The sequence below is a fragment of the Homo sapiens genome, chromosome 3 (genome assembly GCF_000001405.40).
Source record: "Homo sapiens chromosome 3, GRCh38.p14 Primary Assembly".
Taxonomy (NCBI): domain Eukaryota; kingdom Metazoa; phylum Chordata; class Mammalia; order Primates; family Hominidae; genus Homo; species Homo sapiens.
The window spans coordinates 128,554,789-128,577,027 of NC_000003.12; the positions used below are offsets into that span (position 1 = coordinate 128,554,789).

Consider the following 22,239-nt stretch of genomic DNA (forward strand, 5'->3'; position numbering starts at 1 on the left):
GCGCCAGGCCTTGTTCTAAGTGTCCCGGCGTCCCCAGTGAAGCAGGCGAAATAAGCCACGGTGTGGAGGCAGGGAGTGCCTCCCAAGACCCCGAGACCGCTGAGGGCAGAGGAGGGTTATTTAAAGGCAGCACTTGAAGACCCAGGAATCACTCCTGGGGGCGCAGCCTTGCACAGCTAGAGGGCCTGTGGGTTTGAGGAGCCTCAGGGTTGGGGGCGCCGTGGCCGGTGAGGGAGTGAGGTCAGAGGGGAGGGGAGGGCTGGCATCCTTGGGAAGGCTCGAATAGAGGGGAGGCTTGGTGTGAACGATACCCTGCCGGCTGCGTGTGGAGGGGAGGCTGTGGCCTGGGCGGAAGGCAGGAGTCCCGGGAGGGGCAGCGGGGACGGGGACCCTGAGGCCCAGGGGATTGGGCTCAGGGGCCGGATTCAGGATGCTTTCCGCGCAGAGCCAGCCGCAGAAGGGGCATGGGAAAGAGCCTCATCTACGCACGAGAAAACCGGGCCGAGAGTCAAGAGCCAAGGCGGGGCTGCCGTTCCAGGGCGCGAGCCGGGCCGTCCCCCACCTCGATCCTGTGCGCCCTGCCTCGGGCGGCCAGGGTGCGCGCGGCGGCCGCGGGCGCTGCGGAGAGACCGGCGGAGGCCGGGGCACCCGGCGTGTTTTTCAGGAAGGAAGCCTTCGCTCCTGTAACAGGCTGGGGCTTGGCCCGGCCCGCGGCCGCCCCGCCAGGAAGCGCCCCGTCCGCCCCCTCGGGGCGCGTCCGCGGCAGGCACTTTTGAGGACAGGAAGGGGAGAGGTGACCTGAGCATCCACGCAGCTGTGGCATTCGGGGACGGGCCGAGGACTGGGTTTCTTGCCATCCTCAGCGCTGGGGGTGACTCCAAGCCCCCGGGTGGGGGTGGGGAGTGGCCGGGCATGGCGCCCGGCTCCACAATGCATCGCCTTACCCGGCCGGAATTCCTGCAGGACGCTTTGTTCTCAGATGGCAGCGCTGCTAGAGCCATCGGACCTGTGAGGGGGGGGCGCCCGGGGCAGGCCAGAGCCAGGCCTCAGGAAGCCCGCAGCGGCTGCGGCGCTGGGCATTGCCCCACATGCCCGCCACCCTCCCCCGGGCACCCCCCACCCACCGGCGCCACAGTCCCCCCAGCGCCCCCCGCCCCTGGAGCCGCCTGGAAACTGGGCCAGGTCCAGCTGGACAGGCTGTGTCAACTCCAGCTGGGGGGCTTCGCGGAAGCCACCCATTTCCTGCGGCCGTGCAGGCTGTCTGCAGCAGAGACCACCCCACCAAGTTCCCGCCTCTCCCTCCCACCTAGCCCTCAATGGCAACCTACTGGACACTGAGCGAGGGTGGTCTCTGGATGGCCCCCAATGGACACTCTGAAACCTGTCCCTACCCCAGCCCCTGCCCCAGCCCTGGCAGGCCATGTGACATCAGGAGAGCAGTTTACCCTCTCTGGGCTTCAGCTTCCTGCTCTAAAGGAGACCAGAGACTCCCACTTCGGTGCAGTAAAGCAAAGCATCCCTGAGAAAAGAGCCTTTCCGCTTTGGAGAACTGAAGCGGAATGATGGAACCAGAACACTCTGGAGGGAAAGCACATTAATTTCAGTACTGCCTTGTGCTGTTACTTCGGTTGGAATTTTTAAAAACAACCACATCCAGCACTTACTCTGCACTAGGCACTGCTCTAACTCCTCACCTACATGCAGGTGCCAGCAGCAGCCGCCTTGCCCTCTCTAACAAGGGGGCGAAGGTAGCAGGGAGAGGTGGACACGGTGCCCAGAGCCAGGTCACTGACAACTGGATGAGACCCTGGCATCTTGGCCCAGGGCCCACGGTCACAGACGCTGAACCACACGCATTCTTAGGACCCAATTTTTAGAGGAAAGTAGGTTGTTGCCCAAAACTGCGTGCCGGTGTGGTGTGCATGTGTGTGAGAGTATGAGAGTGTCTGTATGAATGTGCATCTGAGTGTGTTCTGAGCGTGTGTGGGTGTGGTGTGTGAGTTGTAAGACTGCGTCATGTGTAGATGTGTGTGTGTGTGTGAGAGTGTGTGTTGTGTGTGTGATAGTCTAGAAACCTCCTGAGAAGAGCTGGTGAGGAACTAGAGAGTGGGGCAGGGGTGAGACTTTGGGATGCGCCTGAAAAACTTAAAGCGCCGTTACTCAAAGTTGAATTGTTTTTCTAAAGTCCTAATGCAAACAACATGTGGGGCAGGGCCCAGATGGTGCCCGGGAGCCCCTGACAGGGTCCTCAGGAAACAGGTGCTCCTGGAATGTTTCCTGCCGCGGGGCTGTGGCAGCAAGCAGGTCACCAGGCTCTTCATTACTGTCAGGAGGGCCCAGCTGCAGCCCCGTCCAGCTGGGTGGAAACCCATGGCCACCGGTCACGAAAGTGCAGGCCTTGGTGGGGACAGGCCCACAGCTCTGCGTTCCCAGCTTCCCCAGCCGGTGTGAGGTGCAGCTCTGGGCTGGGCCCCCGTGTGAGGAAGCCTTGCTCCACCAGCTCCATGGGGTTAGTGGCAAGAAGGTTATGAGCATCCTTAAGTTGCAAAGCTATTGCCAATTATTTCCCCAAAGTGTTGTACCTAGCTGTGAATGCTAGGAATTGCTTCTCTATACCTTCTACAAGCAGGGAGTATCCTTGCAGTCTGATAGAGGACAAAGACATCTTCCAAAGGAAGGATTTTGAGCAGAAGAGGGAGCGCATCATGCCTATATCTATGTGTTAGGAGGGTCATCATGGTGGCCAGGTTGACTATAGACTAAGGTACAGTTAAGGTTGTTTTCAGTCAAAAAAATAACCAAAAAACTACTTCAGTGATTTAAACAAACAGGAATTTATTTTTCTCACGTGAGAAATCTAAGGTGCTGTTCAATGGCTGAGGCATGCCCGGCTGAAACTGCTGTCAGTCTCTTTCCTCATGGTCACAAGATGGCTGCCTTAGCTCCTGCCATTAGATCCATGTTCAAAGCAAGGAGAAAGAGGAAAGGGGAAGGGTTGCACCAGCTGAGTCCCTCTCTTTCTGTCAGGAAAGAAAGGCTTTTTAAAAGCTATGCCCAGAAGATATCTGCTAATATATCATGGGTCAAAAATGAGCCACATGCCACCCCTAGCTATAGTGAAGTCTGGGAAGTATTTGGCTGTCAGCCTCTATAGTGAAAGGCACCAAGGGAGCAGAGGGCTGGGGACAGATGCTGGGACAACCTACGCAGCAGCTATCTGGCATTGATGCTGTGGGTCACCCAAGGCCCCACCCCATCTGGCTCCACCGTGCAATGAGCCACCAGCCACCCGCACACAGCTGTGCTCAGTGCTAGAACCAATGAGAGCTCAGCCCGCAATACCAGGAGCGTTCTTCAAACTCCAGGCAGGCCTCTAAAATTATCTCCAGGCTTCTGGTGAGGGTTACAGGGCAACTTCCTTGTCTGTCCAGTGTGAGGGCAGCCAACTGGGTCTCAGGCCTCTAGAATGTTCCACCTTCCTTGATCTCTGGCACCCAAAAGAAGTCCAGTCCGGTGTTCAAGAAACCCACTGGTTCCCACCGGCCCCCTCCTGGCATGGTATCCTCTCTAGCATGCCCATCTGGGCTGCACCTGGCTAACTGTTTGACCACCTGCCCTACCTGTCCATCTCACTCCCCTGATGTGGACTTCCTGATGCTTCCTGGGCTGGCGTTGACTCTTCTGCCTCGCCATGGCTGCTGCCGTCTTGCTGTTGCCCCAGGCTTCTGTGTGTAGCCACACAACCCCGTGGTGTCACCACCCTTTTTTTTTTTTTTTTTTTGAGACAGAGTCTCGCTCTGTCCCCCAGGCTGGAGTGCAGTGGCGCGATCTTGGCTCACTGCAAGCTCCGCCTCCCGGGTTCACGCCATTCTCCTGCCTCAGCCTCCCTAGTAGCTGGGACTACAGGCACCCGCCACCACACCCGGCTAATTTTTTGTATTTTTAGTAGAGATGGGGTTTCGCCGTGTTAGCCAGGATGGTCTCATCTCCTGACCTCATGATCCACCCGCTTCAGCCTCCCAAAGTGCTGCGATTACAGGCGTGAGCCACTGTGCCCGGCCATCACCATCCTTTTAAAAATAATGTCAAATTGACTGGGCGCGGTGGCTCACACCTATAATCCCAGCACATTGGGAGGCCCGGGTGAGTGAATCACGAGGTCAGGAGTTCGAGACCAACCTGGCCAACATGGTGAAACCCCCGTCTCTGCTTAAAAAATTTTAAAAATTAGTTGGGCATCGTGACGGGCACCTGTAATCCCAGCTACTCGGGAGGTTGAGGCAGGAAAATCACTTGAACCCAGGAGGCGGAGGTTGTAGTGAGCCAAGATTGTGCCACTGCACTCCAGCCCGGGTGACAGAGTGAGACTCCATCTCAAATAAATAAATAAATAATGTTAAATCAAAAAAGTATATGGGAATTCCATTTCTGGCAAAAGGATAGTGGGCAGCATGCAGTCATCATTCTAATGACAGCTGCCACTTACATAGCACTTACTACAACCAGACACCGTTCTGAACGTTCCATGTGCCAGCCAGCGACAGCCCTGTGTGGTGGGAATATCAGCCTGTTTCCCAGATAAGGAAACTGAGACACAGAGGTTAAGTAGCCTGCCCAGGTCACACAGTCATGAGTGGCCTTGTATTTCCTAGAAATGGTTAAAGTATGTTAAGTATCTTTTTAAATACACAGCAGGGCTTGCAAAAAAAAAAAAAAAGGAATATTCATTAGAGCCAAAAGTGGCAGGGGCATCAAGAAGGTGGAACCCAACCCCACCCCCGATCTCCCCACTCACCCTCAGTGTGGGCTGCACATGGAGACTTCCTTCCAGGGAGCACAGCACGGAAACAGAGAAAAAAGCAACTTTGTAAACAAGAAACCTGACCAAGGCAGACTCACCCGCGCAGGCGCTGAGTCATGTTGACAGCAGGTGCCCTTGCTAGGATGTGATGGGCAGGGCGCTTACCTCTGCGGGCATCCTCCCCCAACAAACAATCCCGGTCTAACCAGGAGAAAAACACCTGTTTTTTCCGACAGAGGGACATGCTATAGAATGCCTGACTGTACTGCCCCGAACTGTCAAGGCCATCCAAAACATGGAAAGTCTGAGAAACTGTCACAGCCAAGAGAAGAGCCTAAGGGGAAGACTAAATGCGATGGGGAGCCCTGCACGGGATCCTGGGGCCACTGGGTAAAATGGGGAAGCCTGAATGAGGCATGGACTTCAGTTACACTGCATCGGCCTCGGCTGGCTCAACCGCACCACAGTAAGAGAAGACATTAACACCAGGGGAAACTAGGTGTGGCGTCTATGGGAACTCTCTGTACCATCGCTGCAACTTTTCTGTAAATCTAAAAGTGCTCTAAAATAAGAAGTTTATCTAAACATAAGTGAAAGGCAGCTGAAAACTCTGAATGCAGCACACAGAAACAGGTCCAGCACAGCAAGGAGACGGAAACTATGGAAAAGAGACCCCACGTCGAGGAGAGAAGGAAAATGCTCTCCCCGCATCGACCAGGATTCCCGAATGGGGGAACTCAGAGGTCTGGGGAGAGTATGTATTTGAAAAAACGATGGCTAAGAACTGTCCAGCCAGACTCGATTGAAAATATAAATTCTCCGGCCGGGCACGGTGGCTCACGCCTGTAATCCCAGCACTTTGGGAGGCCGAGGTGGGCGGATCACGAGGTCAGGAGATCGAGAACATCCTGGCTAACACGGTGAAATCCCGTCTCTACTAAAAATACAAAAAATTAGCCAGGCGTGGTGGCGGGCGCCTGTAGTCCCAGCTACTCGGGAGGCTGAGGCAGGAGAATGGTGTGAACCTGGGAGGCGGAGCTTGCAGTGAGCCAAGATCGCGCCACTGCACTCCAGCCTGGGCGACAGAGCGAGACTCCGTCTCAAAAAAAAAAAAAAAAGAAAATATAAATTCTCCAAATGGAGAAGCAAAAATCCCGAACCTGATAAATAAAACTAAAGCAACACCTGGATACGTCGCAGCGAAACTGCAGACCATCACACACAGAGAGAACTGTGGCAGACGCTGTGGCACCCAGAGCCCCCCAGGACAGAGACCTGGTCCCCAGTGGCAGCAGGGCTGGCGGCCTGGCTCTCGGCTATGTCCCTCTCCAGGAACTGCTGCCAGCTGAATACAGCTGCCTCTCCCCACTTCCCCGTGGGTGCAGCTGGCATGGAATGACTGGTCCAAGTGGGGACCCAAAAGCCCAGCTCCGGAGTTCCCACGGGGTCCACCGAGGGCTATGCCGATGCTGCTACCTTTGCTCCCTCAGAGGCACTGTCCCCAAGAACACACCCCAGGACACTCCCCAGAGTTTGTTTTCTGGAAAAATCAACCGACATCAAGATCTTCATTAATGTAGTCACACGATTCAAAAGTCCAAAAGCCCAGAAAGTAGAAAGGTGGTCGCTAGGGGTTGGGGAGGGAATGGGGAGTTAGAGTTGATTGCGGACAGAGCTTCAGTTTGGGAAGATGAAACAGTTCTGTGGATAGATGGTGGGCATGGTAACGCAATACTGTGAGTTCACTAAATGCCTCTGAACTGGTTAAAATCAGGCCGGGCACAGCAGCTCATGCCTGTAATCCCAGCACTTTGGGAGGCCGAGGTGGTAGGATCCCTTGAGCCCAGGAGTTTGAGATCAGCCTGGGCAACATAGCAAGACCCCATATCTATTAACAAATTAATTAATTAAAATGAAATAATAAATGGTTAAAATCATAAATATTATGTTCCATACATTTTACCACAATAAAAAAACTGTCAAGTAGCCCAAAGTATAAAATAAATATCTAGCCGGGTGTTGTGGCAGGCACCTGTAGTCCCAGCCACTCAGGAGACTGAGGTGGGAGGCTCACTTGAGCCCAGGAGTTCAAGGATGCAGCGACCTATGATTGCATAACTGCACTCCAGCCTGGGTGAGAGTCTGAGTCCATACTGATATCAATAAATGATTGAATACATTCATAAATAGGAAAAAGTCTCTGATACAGAATAATTTCAAATAAATTATGAAGCTACTCCATTCTAAAGCAAGGATAGAACCCCACCCCTCAAGTGTGGGCTTCCCAGAGTGACATCCTTGAAAGAGTTCAGGATGGAAAGGGGGAAGGAGTAATCTTTCAGGACAGCAACCTGAGAGACACGACCTATGCCAGGTGGTCAAGGCCAGCATCACTGTGGTAAGTCATGTGCCAGTACTGACCACGGATACGATGAGATGAGAAGGACGCTTACCTCTGTGGGCTTCCTCCCCAACACTCATTAACGTCTTACAGAAAAACTGCAAAGCTCTCACAGAGAGCTCCTGTATATCCCACAGCCGGGGAATATACAGCCAGCGCCCTCTATTATTAATATTTTATGGTAGCATGGTGCATTTTTTACTGTTAATGAGCTATACTGATCTGTTATTAACTAAAATCCATACTTTATTTAGTTTTCCTTAGTTTTCACCTAATGTCCTTCTTCTGTCCTGGGACCTCCTCCAGGATACACATTACAATTAGTCGTGCTTGAGGCTCCTCTGGGCTTTGACAGTTTCTCAGAGTCACCTTGTTCATAGTAGGGGAAGGGGAGGAGGTATAAGGTAACTCCCTGTACCAAGTGCTCAATTTTTCCATCACTCTAAAACTGTTCTAAAAAATAAAGTATATTAATAATAATTTTTAAAGTACCAAGTAGCATAGGGTTTATAATAAAAAGCATTGGCCCCAATCCCTCTCCCTGGGAGCAGACAGCCTTAATTAGTTCATCTCCATACATTTAAATACTAAGCCTAAAACTACCATTATTTCATGTATCAACTTAAATCATGCTCTGTTGACTGCCTACCAGGACAGCCAAGCTGGACAGTCAGTTAAAACCTAGCTGCCGCCACCTGCACCTCCCCCAGTTTTATTTAATGTGTTTAGTTCCTCCATTGCAGAGTTATCAACCCTCAGTCATTCTTGTGCCACTTTTGCAATTTTTGCTTTATCTCTCTAGTGCCTACCTGCATTACCATTTACTTACTACTTATTTTTTTAATTGATTTGCTTTGTTAAATGAAAGTACTTTAAAAGAAAGCATTTACTTCACTATCATTCTTTAAATCTTATGCTAAGACACATTTAAACTAGTATCACTGCCCACTGATATCCCACCTGAAACCCTTGTAAGCACCCTTCCCACACTTTCAACTTTAAATCATATACTTAAACCTTACTGCCTCCGTGTATTTTGACATCTCTGGGGGAGACAGCTGCTTCTCTCCCCAACCTTCCCAACCTGCTCCTCCCTCAGATCTCCTACCTTGGTTGACAGCAATTCCATCCTTCCCATCATTCAGGCCAAAGCCTCAGAGTCACCCTGAGCGTTCTCTTTCACACCCCGTGTCCACCTTGGTTTCTAACAGGCACTGCAAATCTAACCTGACAATGCTGGAGTCGGCAGTTGGATTTATGAGCCTGGAGTCAGGGGAGAAATTGGGGCTGAAGATAATCCATTTGGAAGTCATCAGTGTGAAGATGGTGCTTAAAGACATGAGACTGAGGTGAGGTCACCAAGGGAGCAGGCAGATAGAAAAAGTTGGAGGACTGAGTCCCAGGGCCCTCCAAATTCCAGCAGCCCAGAGATGAGAAAGGACCAGCTTTAAAGGTGGATTCAGAGATACCAGCAAAGGAGAGGAGATACAGCGTGTGCTGATAAACCTGCCCTCTGAAAATAAAGAAATAAACGCATTGATTTGTAGAGTTTTCCAGTTTCCATGGTGTAAATAACTCCCACTGTGGTCCATTTCAGGCTACCAACATGACGTCACTGAACAGGGAGTCAGGAGCTTTGCACATAGTCAACTCTTGCAAACTATTATGAGTTTGTCCTGCTCCCCACTGCCTGGAAACCAAGCAAACAGAGAGTTACAAAAAAAGAATTACAAGCATGAAGGGTGAACAACCATGTTAAATGCCGTTGACATGTCAAATTAGCTGAGGACTTCCGCAGTGATGGATGTAACACTTTGCCACGCAAAAATGTTAAACGTAGATCAGGCAGGATGCAAAAATAGCATAACTTCACACTCTGTAAAGTTACACTCCCCAGTACAACTTTCAAACCGGAGCAATAAAGAGAGAAACAATTCCCTGGATCATTTATTTTTAATCTCTCCTCAATTCTAACATATGCATTCAGGCCATAATTGTCCCTCTAAGCATGGCTTTAACTGCATTCCAACGTTTGTACATGTAATATTTTAATTATCGTTTGTTCAAAACATAATTTTAATTGCCATCACGCTTTTTCTCAGGCCTGAGAGTTTTTTAAGACTGCTGTTCGGCCGGGCATGGTGGCTCACACCTGTAATCCCAGCACTTTGGGAGGCCAAGGCAGGCAGACCACCTGAGATCGGGAGTTCGAGACCAGCCTGACCAACATGGAGAAACCCCGTCTCTACTAAAAATACAAAATTAGCCAGGTGTGGCGGCACATGCCTGTAATCCCAGCTACTCGGGAGGCTGAGGCAGGAGAATCACTTGAACCCAGGAGGCAGAGGTTGCAGTGAGCCAAGATTGTGCCATTGCACTCCAGCCTGGGCAACGAGAGTGAAACTCTGTCTCAAAAAAAAAAAAAAGAAAAGAAAAGAAAGAGTACTGTTTAATTTCCAAACATTTGAAGACTTGGTTATCTTTTTTTTTTTTTTTTTTTTTTTTGAGATGGAGTCTCGCCCTGTCACCCAGGCTGGAGTGCAGTGGCGCGATCTCCACTCACTACAAGCTCCGCCTCCCAGGTTCACGCCATTCTCCTGCCTCAGCCTTCAGAGTAGCTGGGACTACAGGCACCCGCCACCACACCCAGCTAATTTTTTGTATTTTTAGTAGAGATGGGGTTTCACCGTGTTAGCCAGGGTGGTCTTGATTTCCTGACCTCGTGATCCACCCACCTCGGCCTCCCAAAGTGCTGGCATTACAGGCGTGAGCCACTGCACCTGGCCAACTTGGTTATCTTTTTAATGAGTATTTCTAACTTAATTATATTGTGGTCAGAGAATATATTTTGTATAATTTCAATTCTTTGAAACGTTTTTGAGAGTTGTTTCCCAGTATGAATCCATTTTGGTAAATTTCCAATGTGGGCTTGAAAAAAATGTGTAACCTGAGTAGTTGTTGTATCTGTCTGAAGTTGGCTGATCATGTTATTTAAATCTGTATATCCTACTGATATATTTCTGCTTGTTCTATGAGTTAGTGAGAGAAGCAAGAAGTATATAAAAACCTCCTACTATAATTGTGGATCTGTCCATTTCTCACTCTTTTTTTTCTTTTTTGATTTTCCAAAATGAGAGGCATCCGTTTCTTCTTGTCTGTTTTCTGTTATCTGTTGTCTCTCCTGGCATTCGTTCGTGCAGTCTTGTTTCTGCTTGGGCCTAGCTACTATTATTGTGTGCTTGACGTTAAAATTTTAAACATTGTTAATAGAAATAATGAGACCTAGAATGCTGCTATCTTCCTCCAGAAAGGTATTCAAATGGCTTCTTCCAGGTGCCGAGGGCATGGGCAATCCTAAATCCAGCTGTAGAGTTTGATATTCTCTGAAACTGAGCAGCAAATCTCGCCAGGACTGGTGCAGGTCTCCAGTCCACCCGTATGCCCGGGTGTAGTGCTGCGCGGTCCCAACCAAAAATGCAAGCCAGGAACAAGCTCCCACCACCTTCTCTCCGTTATCCTCACAATCTGCGAAAGCACCGCTCAGCCCTCAGCCACCTCTTCTGACACTGGCAATCGCCCTCAAGGAAAAAGTGACCCCAAATGCTGAGCTCACCTTTCCCCATGTTTCCTTTGCGTGGATCTTCATCCCACCGTCAGCTCTCCAGTGCCTTCCGGCAGGCCTTCGACTGGACTGTTTTGTGCAGCTCCTCTGGGCGTCCTCAGTGGAAGGGCTGCTACAAACCACCTAGTGCCTTTGCAAAAATCAAAAGTCTCACCTCATTTTTCAAAGGAAAAAGACAAGCTTTTCACTCCACGGAAGGAGTCTCCCCTTTCCATTCCTAAAGAGATCTCTACCATGATGTTATATCAGGAATGTAATGAGAATCTGAGGGAAAAGGTCTGCGACTATGGACTCCTAAAGGCAGGCAGTATTAAGAACAGAGTTGGCAACTCGCAGCAGCCAAAATGCTAATACAGAATTCTGTTTCCACCAAAAAAAAAAAAAAAAAAAAGGCCAGACATGGTGATTCACGCCTGTAATTCCAACATATTAGGGGGCTGAGGCCGGAGGATCACTTGAGCTCAGGAATTCGAGACCAACCTGGTCAATATAGTGAGACCTCATCTCTATAAAAAAATTAAAAATTAATTGAATATAGTGGTACACACCTGTAGTCCCAGTTAGTTGGGAGGCTGAGACAGGAGGATTGTTTGAGCCCGGGAGGTCAAGGCTGCAGTGAGCCATGATCACACCACTGCACTCCAGCCTGGGCAACAGACCAAGGCTTGTCGCAAAAAATAAAAATAAAATAAAATAAAATTTAAGCCAATGTCTTCAGTTCTGGTTGAATTCACAGCCACCGTTAAATCTTCCGAGCACATAGGCAAGATAGAAACACCACTGCCACTTGGTGACAGTGTGCTTTAATTGCAGGGAATGGGAAACAAAGGCCCAAAAGCAAGTCACAGATTAGAACAGCATCACCACAGGAGGTCTGAGAGCCAAGCCTCTGCCTCAAAATCTGACAGGGAAGGAACAATCTAGAAGACAGATTCTGAAGACATTCTGGAAAAGAGAGACTGAGTACAGTACAACCCCTGGTCCTTTCTTCCTTCTGCCCTAGGCCCCAGCTCAGCCCATCTGCTCACCTTCCCTATCCCTAGTTCTCACGGTAGGGAACAGCTTATTTACAAAGGGAACTCTAAGGTCTCAGGAGGAATTTTGGTCAATATTTTAGCCACTTCCTACATTCAGCCTCGCTCAAGGTCTCTCTTCTTGATTGTATTGTCCTAATCTACTTTCCCACCAACATAAATAGTATTTCTAGCTCTTGTCCTAACTGAGAGAAAGTTTGTGTTGGAATTGCTACTGGGAAATCTCTAGTGACTCTTCATGTTAAAAGAGGAGGAAGGGGCTGGGCATGGTGGCTCACACCTGTCATCTTAGCACTTTGGGAGGCCAAGGTGGGAGGATCATTTGAGCTCAGGAGTTCAAGACCAGCCTTGGCAACATGGCAAGACCCCATCTGTGTTAAATATATATATATTCAATAAAAAAGAGGAGGAAGGGAAATTCAGAGAGCTCGGCTAGATTGCACAAAGTCACAGCCTTGGTCGTAGGGCCAGGGTACAGCAGCCACCTCCCGACTTACTGCCCCTCTCCACATTACCTCTTGGCCACACCACCTTGTCCAGGCCAGGGCTTTTGCAGCCTGAGCTGTGGGGGGTGGGTGTCAAGATTGAGAAACTGACTTCCCAGAGACTATCTACATGGGGTCTGCGGAGGCTCAGAGCGTGGTGCTGGTGAGTACAAAGGGAGGTTCCAAGCCCTCCCTGAGCCCGTGAGCACCTTACACTCCCAGCCAGACCATAGTCGGGCATGCCGGGGCCACCACCAATGTGGCAAAGGGACACGGCTGGACACAGGGCACTTAGCTGGCCAGCCTTGTGGGTCTGCAGATTGATCTTCTCTTGAGCAAGACTTTTGCAGTCAGACTCTGGCCCTGCCATTTAACTGGTTGTGTGAATCTGAGTGAGTCCCTTTGCACTCCTCTGCACTCCTCCCCTGCCCGTTCCATGCTGCGGCTATGACAACACTGCCCATTCCACAGGGCTGTACTGAGAATGTGAGTTACTGTATTGAAATTGCTTAGCACCATGCCTGGCACATGGCACATGCTCAGGGTTAGCTGTTATTAGAAAGAAAAACTGAGGGGGGCTTCATGGCACAGGGGATGGATTTGGCTAAGGCTGGGATAATCACCACCTGCCAAGGGTCCACCCTGTGCCTGATATTTCCCAGAGTGGCTGCCAGCATCACGATGACCGTGACCTTGTGCTCAGAAGACATCACCACCCGGCTTCAGAGCTGAAGTTAGTGACACTCAGAGAGATTGAGTGACTTGCCCTGCTGGCAGGTGATGGAACTAGAGTCTTGTTCCAAACTAGGCACTTTACATATTTTACCTAATGTAATCCTCCCGAGAGCCTCAGCTGATCAGTGCTACTCACTGGGCCGATTTGACAGGCCCAGAAACTGTTAGTCCCCTGCCTATGTTTAAGCTCCTGGGCAGTGGCAAAGTCAGGATTCGAACCCAGGACCTCCACGCTCCAGAGTCCTTGCCTTTGGCAATTGCGCTCTGCTGTCCGGCAAGTCCATTGCAGCTGCTTGGTCCATTTTGCAGAATCAAAGCAGCGATGTGTGCTGGCTGTTGGGGGCGGGGGGCAGCATGGCCCCAGCTGAGGGCTTGCTGAGGGAGGGAGAGAAGCTAGAACTCGACATTTGGATGGAATGTTCAAGGGTCCTGTTGCCCAGGCCAAGCCTCTGCTTGAACACCCTCAGGGATGGGGGAGCTCACTGCCAGTCTGCTCCACTGTGAATGGACTTGATGGATTAGGAAGCCCTTTACTCCAGGAGAAGGTCACCACCTGCAACTCACTGGTCTCTGTTCTGCCTTCCTGAGCCACACAGATTTTACCATCATGTGAAACGATGATAACAATAATAAGAATGTCGTGGTGACTACGAATTTTTTGAGAGGGTCCAGTGCCCTAATCACTGTGTTTTGGGCTTTTTTTTTTTTCATGTACTATCTCATTTAGTATTTAAAACTAACTACTGTGCCCATCCTCACTCCACCCCAACAAAGACAGGAAGTGACCAATTTACAAACTAATTGTGTTCCTAACATTCTTTTGTAAGGCTGTTGTTTGGATGACGAAACCGCTTTCCCACATAAACAATGGTATAAATGGCTGTGGGTGCCCCAGCTAGCCCCCCGAAGCCTGGTTTACTCATCCCGCCTAAAGGGCCCCCACACATTTACAATGAAAGAGAACAGAACGGAGTCAGATTAGAGCCGCAGTCATTAAACAATGGAGGGAAAAACTGATGTTGGGAGAAAGATGGTTGTTGTCTCCAGCACTGGCTGCCTCAGGAAGCGCCAGCCCAGAAGAGAACGGCCAACTTCCCGCGCTGGGGCAGGGGCGGCCTGGGAATGGCTTCAAAGCCAGTCTCTCCCACTGATAGAACCAGACAGCACCCAGCCCAACATTTTACCCAAAGAATGAACCCAATGGTGGGACAGTGTGGAGCCTCAGAGGGGTGAGCCAGACCTGGCCTTGCCACTTCCTGCATGTGTGGTCCCAGGAGAGCTACTGGACTTCTCTGAAGGTCCCCATGCAGGGAGCAGAAGCACTACGGTCCTTCCTGGGGTGCACTGAGGACACAGAGACAGCGGGTGTCAAGAACTTAGTATAGGCCAGGAGCCGTGGCTTACGCCTGTAATCCCAGCACTGTGGGAGGCTGAGGCAGAAGGGTCACTTGAGGCTAGGAGTTTGAGACCAGCCTGGACAACATAGCAAGACCCCATCTCTAAAAAAAATTTTTTTAACAACTTAGCACAGTCTCTGGCACATAGTAGGTGCTCAATAATGGTGAGTCATATTGTTAAAAATAATAAAAGTTGAAGCCGGGCACAGTGGCTCACGTCTGTAATCCCAGCACTTTGGGAGGCCGAGGTGGGCAGATCATGAGGTCAGGAGTTTGAGACCAGCCTGGCCAACATAGTGAAACCCTGTCTCTACTAAAAATACAAAAAATTAGCCAGGCGTGGTGGCGGGCACCTGTAATCCCAGCTACTTGGGAGGCTGAGGCAGGAGAATTACTTGAACCCGGGAAGCGGAGCTTGCAGTGAGCCGAGATCATGCCATTGCACTCCAGCTGGATGACAGAGCGAGACTCCGTCTCAAAGTTAATAAATAAATAAATAATAATAAAAGTTCTGCATGGCCCATGCCTGGGGGAGAAAAGAAGAAAGAAATCAGGAAAGAGAGGTCCCAAATGCCAAAGGCATGGTGCAGGGTCCATAATCTGGGGAGGGGGTTTTTCTTATCTCAGATCTTGCATAGCCTTTCTGCATGGCAATGCATTGGGAGTTAAAAGTGAAAAAGCCACAGGGTGCGGTGACTCATGCTTGTAATCCCAACACTTTGGGGAGCTGAGGCGAGAGGATCTATTGAGGCCAGCAGTTGGCCAGCCTAGGCAACAAAGTGAGACCCCATCTCTACAAAAATAAGTAAATAAATAGGCATGGTGGTGCACACCTGTGGCCTCCAGCGACTCGGGAGGCCGAGGCGGAAGGATGGCTTGAGCTCAGGAAGTTGAGGCTGCAGCAAGCCATGACTACACCACTACACTCCAGCCTAGGGGCAGATCAAGACCCTGTCTTTAAATAAATAAATAAATAGAAGTGGAGAAGAACCCGACAGGTGCCTCGTGGGGACTCGGATTTGGAAATAGATTGAGATGCTATCTGCAGTCAGCCAGCACAGCCTTGAAGCCTCCTGATAACCAGGGCGACCAGAGAGTAACTTCAGACAGCAGAGAACTACACAGGCAGGTGGAAGCAACCTGAAGAGGAGGTTGGACCACCGCCTCTGCAGCTGGGGCCAATGGGCATGGTCTCCAGACTGCTAGTTCACCAAGAGTTTTTAACTTTAGGAAGTCATTTTCCATGATTATTTGCACCTGCAAAATTCCAGTCCCAATGTTCAGTTTGGTCATGGCCTGAGAGCCATTCGGTGCGACTTTAATGGCCACAGGATACTAAGGAAAGAAAGGTGGATGTCAGATAGAAAGGACGCATTCATGACAAGAGAAGGGCAATGGCACTTGGATGTGTTTTAAGACACTGAGGCTTTGCAGGAGTTCAAACAGAGAAAAGGAGGAGGAAAAGGGAGTTGTCACAGTGGTTACAGAATGTGCCAGATTCCACGGAAGCTGCACTGAGCCCATCAGCACCACATTCCTGTTTCAAGCAAGACAGCATTATTCATTGGCATAGACTAATACCATTCACTTGAATTTTATTCATCTTGTAATTTTGGTTGGATTTAACTTATCTTTCATTTTCATCTTGTTGTAGGAGTAGACAGTACCAATGTTTAGCTTTAGGTGAGCACAGATTGATTGAACGATTGATTGATTGGTTGGCTGACTTTTTAGAGACAGAGTCTTGCTCTGTGGCCCAGGCTGGAGTGCAATGGCTTGGTCTCAGCTTACTGCAGCCTCAACCTCCTAGGCTCAAGCAATCCTCCCACCTCAGCCTCCCAAAGTGCTGGGATTACAGGTAGGAGCTACCATGCCTGGCCTCATTTTATATAATGTTAAAATAAGCCAAAGTCACAATAGCCAAAAGGTGGGAGAAACTCAAGTGTCCATCTACAGATGAATGGATAAATGAATGCAGCCTGTCCCACAATGGACTATTACACAGCCTTAAAAAGGAAGGAGGTTCTGAGCTCTGCTGCCACATCGGTGAACCTGGAGGACATGATGCTGAGTGAAATAAGCCAGGCACACAAAGTCAAGTCCTGCATGATTCTATTCATATAAGATCCCCAGCAGTCACATTCACAGACACAGAGAAGTAGAAGGTGGTTGCCGGGGGCTGGAGGAGGGAGAATGGGGAGTTAGTGTTTAATGGGTGCAGAATTTCAGTTTGGGACAATGAAAAACATTCTGGAGATGAACAGTGGTGAGTGTTGCACAGCAATATGATTGTATCTCATGCCAATGAACTCTATACTTTAAAATGGTTATGGTGGTAAATTTTATTGTTTTGTTTTGTTTTGTTTTGTTTTGTTTTGTTTGAGATGGAGTCTCACTTTTTCGCCCAGGCTCGAATGCAGTGGTGCGATCTCGGCTCACTGCTGCCTCCACCTCCCAGGTTCAACCGATTCTCCTGCCTCAGCCTCCTGAGTAGCTGGGACTACAGGTGTGTGCAGCCACACCCGGCTATTTTTTTGTATTTTTAGTAGAGACAGGGTTTCACCATGTTGGCCAGGATTGTCTGGATCTCCTGACCTCGTGATCCGCCCGCCTCGGCCTCCCAAAGTGCTGGGATTACAGGCGTGAGCCACCACGCCCAGCAATTTTATTGTTATATGTATTTCACCACAATAAAAATAGATATATAAAATAAAGGTATGAAATCAACACTGGGAATGGGTAAAGTTTTTTTCTGTTAAAAGACCTTGGGTGGTCTCAGGCCAAGACAACCGGAACCCTCAGACTCATCCTTCCTCCGAGGAGTCCCCTCCGGGGACTACAGAGAAGACTGCTCTCCCGGCAGCGTCATCTCGGCTGACCTCGCTGGAAAGGCAGCTCTCTGTGGCCAGGTCAAGAGGGCTGGGGAGACCAGGAATCATCCACCCATGATGTTCCTAAAACCTGCCTGCGCATGGCAGCCACCGGGACGGCCTGTCAAAATGAAGATGCCTGGGCCCTGCCCCGGATACTGAGTCACAGTCTCTAAGGGTAAGGAGGCCTGGAATCTACACTTTTAACAAGCTCCCCAGGCACCTCTGAATACCCAACCTGCTAGGGTATCAGGCCGGGCAGCGCAGAGGCCTGGAGGAGCCCAGGTATACAATCCATAGAGCCGACTTCACTACTGCCTGCCACTGCCTGCTGTGTGACTGTGAGCATGTCATTCAGCCTCTCTGGGTCTCAGTTTCAGACCTATGGGTTTGGCACAAAAGCGCTTATGTTGGGAAGGGCTTGTTTTGAGGGTTAGCAATAAGATACATAAAGTGCCTGGTGCATAACAGGTGCTGAATAAATGGTGGCTGCAGTTAGGATTCGAGAGCTGGGAGAGACCCACCCAGCTGGCACTGGCTGAGAGGTGAGCAAGCCGCTCCCGCACAGAGGGCTCCATCCCAAGTGCACATGTGTTTCCTGCAGGGGGAGCACCTTTAACCAGGGACGTGGATGTGGCTTGTCACTTTAGCTCTGAAAAATGGGACAGAAGTTGTTGAGGGGAAATCCCTTCTCACAGAAAGCAGAATGGTGCTTTGGGAACCCCCCCTCCTTTTCCCTCTGCCACCCCCAATCTAGAGCTGACTGCACCTCACTCTTATCATCCAAAAGCCTTGCCCCTGACCGCAGGCTAGCCCAGGAAGAGAAGTAAGGCTCACCTGCCAAATCTTGCTGTGTGGCTTTGAGAAAACCACATAACCTCTCTGAGCCTGAGGTCCTTATCTCTCACTAGGGGGAGGAGGGTGACACCCATTCATTCAGGGCATACTGACTGTGATAGACACGTCCTCATCCTCACAGGCCGACAGTCCAGTGGGAAGATCAGGCTTTAGTGAAACCACTGCAAATATCTCATTGCAAAACAAAATAGCTGCCTTAGAAAGTTGTGATCAGGTGGTTTTTCCGACTTTTTTTTTTTTTTTAGCAGCAGAACCCTTCATTCAAATGAAGCCTTACCCAGGACTGGGTCATGGAAAATAGCTGAAAGCAAAGTTGCTCAGAGGCTCTGTGGCTGTCACCAGAGAGCCCGACGGCTTCAAGGAACACAGCTGGAAACCAGAGCTTGATGTCTGGGAGGGAGGGGTGAGGAAAGGCCCACAGTGGCACAGCAGAGTCCTGGCACATTGTGGGCACTGGAGAAGCCATCCCTGCCTGAGCTCGTCATCTCTCTCTCTCTCTCTCACCATGTCAAATGGTAGTGGGTGGGTACAGGGCCCAAACTCGGTCCCCAGACCCCCGAGTGTCTCTGGTGCCAGAGACCCCACAATGCCTAGAAGCTTCCAACCACCCTGGCCCAGGGTGCCTAGGGGCTGAGAGTCTGGGGGTCCCTGGAGGCGGGAGACGCTGAGTCTAGGCAGGCTCGTGCTGGAAACCAGCTCACTGCAGCGGACCACTATCTGATGGAGCGCTTCCTTCATCAGTGCTAATATCCATGTAGCGAAACAATGAAAGGGTTTCCTATCAGTTCCAAATAGGACGTGAAAAACTCTCAGTGCTAAGAGTAGAGGATGCTAGAATAGGGCAATGGGAAACGCCTGAGTCACCGGAGGGCCTCTTTGATTCCGACAGCCCAATCACTGAAAAGGAAAAAGAGAGAGAGAGTGGTTCATTAATGATCCGAGGGAGGGGACAGGAAAGACAGGCCCTTCACAGGGGACCTCCCCAGAGAGCTGAGAGCGGGAGAAGCCCAGCAGTGGGGACACTACCCAGAGAAAGAAACAGAGCTGAGGCTCCACCCGTGCACCCGCCCCACCCAGCCACCCAGCACGTCCACGAGCCACGCGCCAAGGGCAGTTCTGGTTTCCACAGATAAGCATTTAAGGAAGAATGTTCAGGAGTCCTGCTGTATTCTTCACCAGACTTGTCTCAGAGCAGCTGCTCACCCAGGAGCTCCATGGCCACAGGGATGCCCAGGACAGGGACGACTGCTTGCCCACTGCCGTGCTCTGGGGCTCTGGGCAGTCCCTCGGCCTCACCCACTGCTCAGATTTTCTGCAGGAAAAATGGGAGAGCCACCCTTTCAAAGAGTGACCCGGGCCCGGTTCCTCCTCAAAGCCTTTCGGAATGAATCTCCCAGTTCCCCACTGACTGGACATAGAACCTCTGCTCTTTCCTTCTCTAAGGCTGTGCTAGTCCATTATTCATTAAAAGACAAAATGAGGCCGGGTGCAGTGGATCACGCCTGTAATCCCAGCACTTTGGGAGGCCAAGGCGGGCGGATCATGAGGTCAGGAGATCGAGAACATCCTGGCTAACACGGTGAAACCCCATCTCTACTAAAAATACAAAAACAAAATTAGCCGGCTGTGGTGGCGGGTGCCTGTAGTCCCAGCTACTCAGGAGGCTGAGGCAGGAGAATGGCGTGAACCCGGGAGGTGGAGCTTGCAGTGAGCCGAGATCGTGCCACTGCACTCCAGCCTGGGCGACAGAGAGAGACTCTGTCTCAAAAAAAAAAAGACAAAATAATTGTCTTTTAATGACTTTAAAAGACATTGAGGTGGGTGTGGGGCTCATGCCTGTAATCCCAGCAATTTGGGACGCCGAGGTGGGAGGATCACTTGAGCCCAGGAGTTTCAGACCAGCCCAGGCAACGTAGCAAGACCCCATCTCTACAAAAATGTTTAAAACCTAACCAGGAATGGCAGTGCATGCCTGTAGTCCCAGCTACTCAGGAGGCTGAGGTGGGAGGATTGCTTTAGCCCAGGAGGTTGAGGCTGCAGTGAGCTATGATAGCACCACTGCACTCCAATCGGAGTGGCAGAGTGAGACCCCAACTCAAAATAAAATTAAAAGACAAGAGGCCAGGCGCAGTGGCTCATGCCTGTAATCCCAGCACTTTAGGAGACTGAGGTGAGCAGATCGTGAGGTCAGTAGTTCAAGACCCGCCTGGCCAACATGGTGAAACCCCATCTCTACTAAAAATACAAAAATTAGCTGGGCATGGAGGCGCATACCTGTAATCCCAGCTACTCAGGAGGCTGAGGCAGGAGAATTGCTTGAACCGGGAGGCAGAGGTTTCAGTGAGCCAAGATCATGCCACTGCATTCCAGCCTGGGTGACAGAGCAAGACTCCATCTCAAAAAAAATTAAAAGACAAAATGTGGACACACACATGGCCCCAGCAAGCAAGATTGATTACTAACTTCGTGGTGGCGTGCACATGCACACGATGTTCCACAAGCTCATCATCTATTCGAGTCGAGAGTATTCAGTTATCAGCCTCAGAAATCCAGAAGGAACCTCACATCCCAGGAGCCTCTGGCATTTCAGGGCCTTTCACTCCAAGGAGCCGCCTCCACCGGGCCTTCCCCAGCAGGATGTATATGGCCCTGTCTGTGTGCTAGGAGGAGAAGGGCAGGCCCGTGTGCTGTCTGGTGCTAGGTGTGAGACCACAGCCTTTCTGGAAAGGCTTTGTACTGTGCTGCTGGTGTGCAGACCCCGTGCGTGGTAGGGGCTTCAAGAATACGCATCAAATGAACCCGAACCCAAGGACGCTTGCTCACCTGTGTCATCTGGGGGTCTCCTTCCACAGGAAGCACATCTGGGCAGAGTGAAGGCTCCCAGGGCTCAGGTCCAGAAAGAGCTGGAGGCTCCTGAGAGCAAGGGGCCCTACTCGGCCATGAGCCCAGAACAATGCGAGCTTCACACACCGCAGGTGTGTGCGTGTGGGAGCCTCTTCCTGAAGCCTTGGGGTCAGGGGCCGGGGCCCAGCAGGCTGGGTTTATTGTCCATTGTCTCAGGCCGGGACAGGAAGCACTTTCTGTTCCCAATTGCTCGGGTGGATTAATTTACAGTGGGGAGCTCAGAGTCGCCCACGGCACCTGTTTTCCCCTCTGAGGGGCCAGCTTCCAGCTTGGAGGGTGTTTCAGGAGGGGTCTCCTCTGCAGAGACGTGGCCTCCTCCAGAGACCCTTGGCCACAGCCCCTGCCCGCTCCGTGCTGGGCCGAGGCCAAGGCCCTGGCAGCCCTGCCTGCTTGCCCGGGTCACGCTGCCCACCCACGGGGAAAGCTGAGCCCTGTGGAGTGCACACCATGCTGTCAGCAGTGAGCCATGGTGAGGCAGCCTCAGCAATGTGTCTTCTCTTTGGTTGGGAATCCGCTCTCTCTTCCAGGTTCAGGGGCAGGTGATGTATGCTTGTTTTCATTTGGTGAAGATCGTGAGTCCCATTTTACAGATAAGGACGCTGAGGCTCAGCAAGGTTGACTACACAGGTCGCGAATGAAGTGGTGGGATGCAAACCCGAGTCTGCTCCAGGTCCCAGAGCTCTCAACCTCAAATGTCTCAGGAGCCAACGAAAGCTTGTGACTGAGTGTCACCAGCTGGTGTACAAAGGGGGAGTGGCAGGAGGTGGAGGAGAACCCAGGGGTGCAGGCAGGGGGGACCCTGTGCCATCTCCAAGGGCAGCACTGCTCTACCCAGCCTGCCATGCCTTGAAGTAAGGTGGACCTTGTGTGGCCACATTTTTCCTTGTTAGTAACTCAGAAGATACATTTCTAGACACGGGGTAGGTCACAAAAGCCTGTCTGCAGGCGGCACATTGCTTTCCACCTCTGCTCTGTGCCACCATGCCAACACCAACAGTGAGCACCTGCTATATGCAGGTGCTGCCCGGGCACCTCCACAACGGGGACCCATCCTGTGTCTTCAGGCCCCCCCAGGCAGCAGGCACTGTGCTTCCTGTGGACACACAGGGGACTGAGGCTCAAAAGAGCAGGC

At 51.0% G+C, this 22,239-nt stretch overlaps 1 long non-coding RNA gene across 1 annotated transcript, besides 5 other annotated features; it reads right to left on the reverse strand.

The window, feature by feature from the left end:
- Positions 12,112 to 12,790: an enhancer, noted in NCBI's record as "H3K27ac-H3K4me1 hESC enhancer chr3:128285743-128286421 (GRCh37/hg19 assembly coordinates)". NCBI's record gives its function as "activates a minimal SCP1, AML or CMV promoter by ChIP-STARR-seq in primed H9 embryonic stem cells {active_cell/tissue: H9 hESC(primed)}" and the evidence as "EXISTENCE:reporter gene assay evidence [ECO:0000049][PMID:30033119]".
- Positions 13,469 to 14,147: an enhancer, noted in NCBI's record as "OCT4-NANOG-H3K27ac-H3K4me1 hESC enhancer chr3:128287100-128287778 (GRCh37/hg19 assembly coordinates)". NCBI's record gives its function as "activates a minimal SCP1, AML or CMV promoter by ChIP-STARR-seq in primed H9 embryonic stem cells {active_cell/tissue: H9 hESC(primed)}" and the evidence as "EXISTENCE:reporter gene assay evidence [ECO:0000049][PMID:30033119]".
- Positions 13,469 to 14,152: a biological region, named in NCBI's record as "OCT4-NANOG-H3K27ac-H3K4me1 hESC enhancer GRCh37_chr3:128287100-128287778".
- Positions 13,858 to 14,152: a silencer, noted in NCBI's record as "tiled region #8284; K562 Repressive non-DNase unmatched - State 23:Low". NCBI's record gives its function as "represses a minimal TATA promoter and a strong SV40 promoter by Sharpr-MPRA in K562 cells {active_cell/tissue: K562}" and the evidence as "EXISTENCE:reporter gene assay evidence [ECO:0000049][PMID:27701403]".
- Positions 14,148 to 14,824: an enhancer, noted in NCBI's record as "OCT4-NANOG-H3K27ac-H3K4me1 hESC enhancer chr3:128287779-128288455 (GRCh37/hg19 assembly coordinates)". NCBI's record gives its function as "activates a minimal SCP1, AML or CMV promoter by ChIP-STARR-seq in naive H9 embryonic stem cells {active_cell/tissue: H9 hESC(naive)}" and the evidence as "EXISTENCE:reporter gene assay evidence [ECO:0000049][PMID:30033119]".
- Positions 17,212 to 21,298, reverse strand: LINC01565 (long intergenic non-protein coding RNA 1565). Its single transcript, NR_125802.1, has 3 exons — positions 21,027 to 21,298; positions 20,478 to 20,598; positions 17,212 to 19,515 (listed from the first exon to the last, which is right to left on the reverse strand). It is a non-coding gene; the product is annotated as a long intergenic non-protein coding RNA 1565 (long non-coding RNA).
- Positions 21,299 to 22,239: the final 941 nt, after the last annotated feature.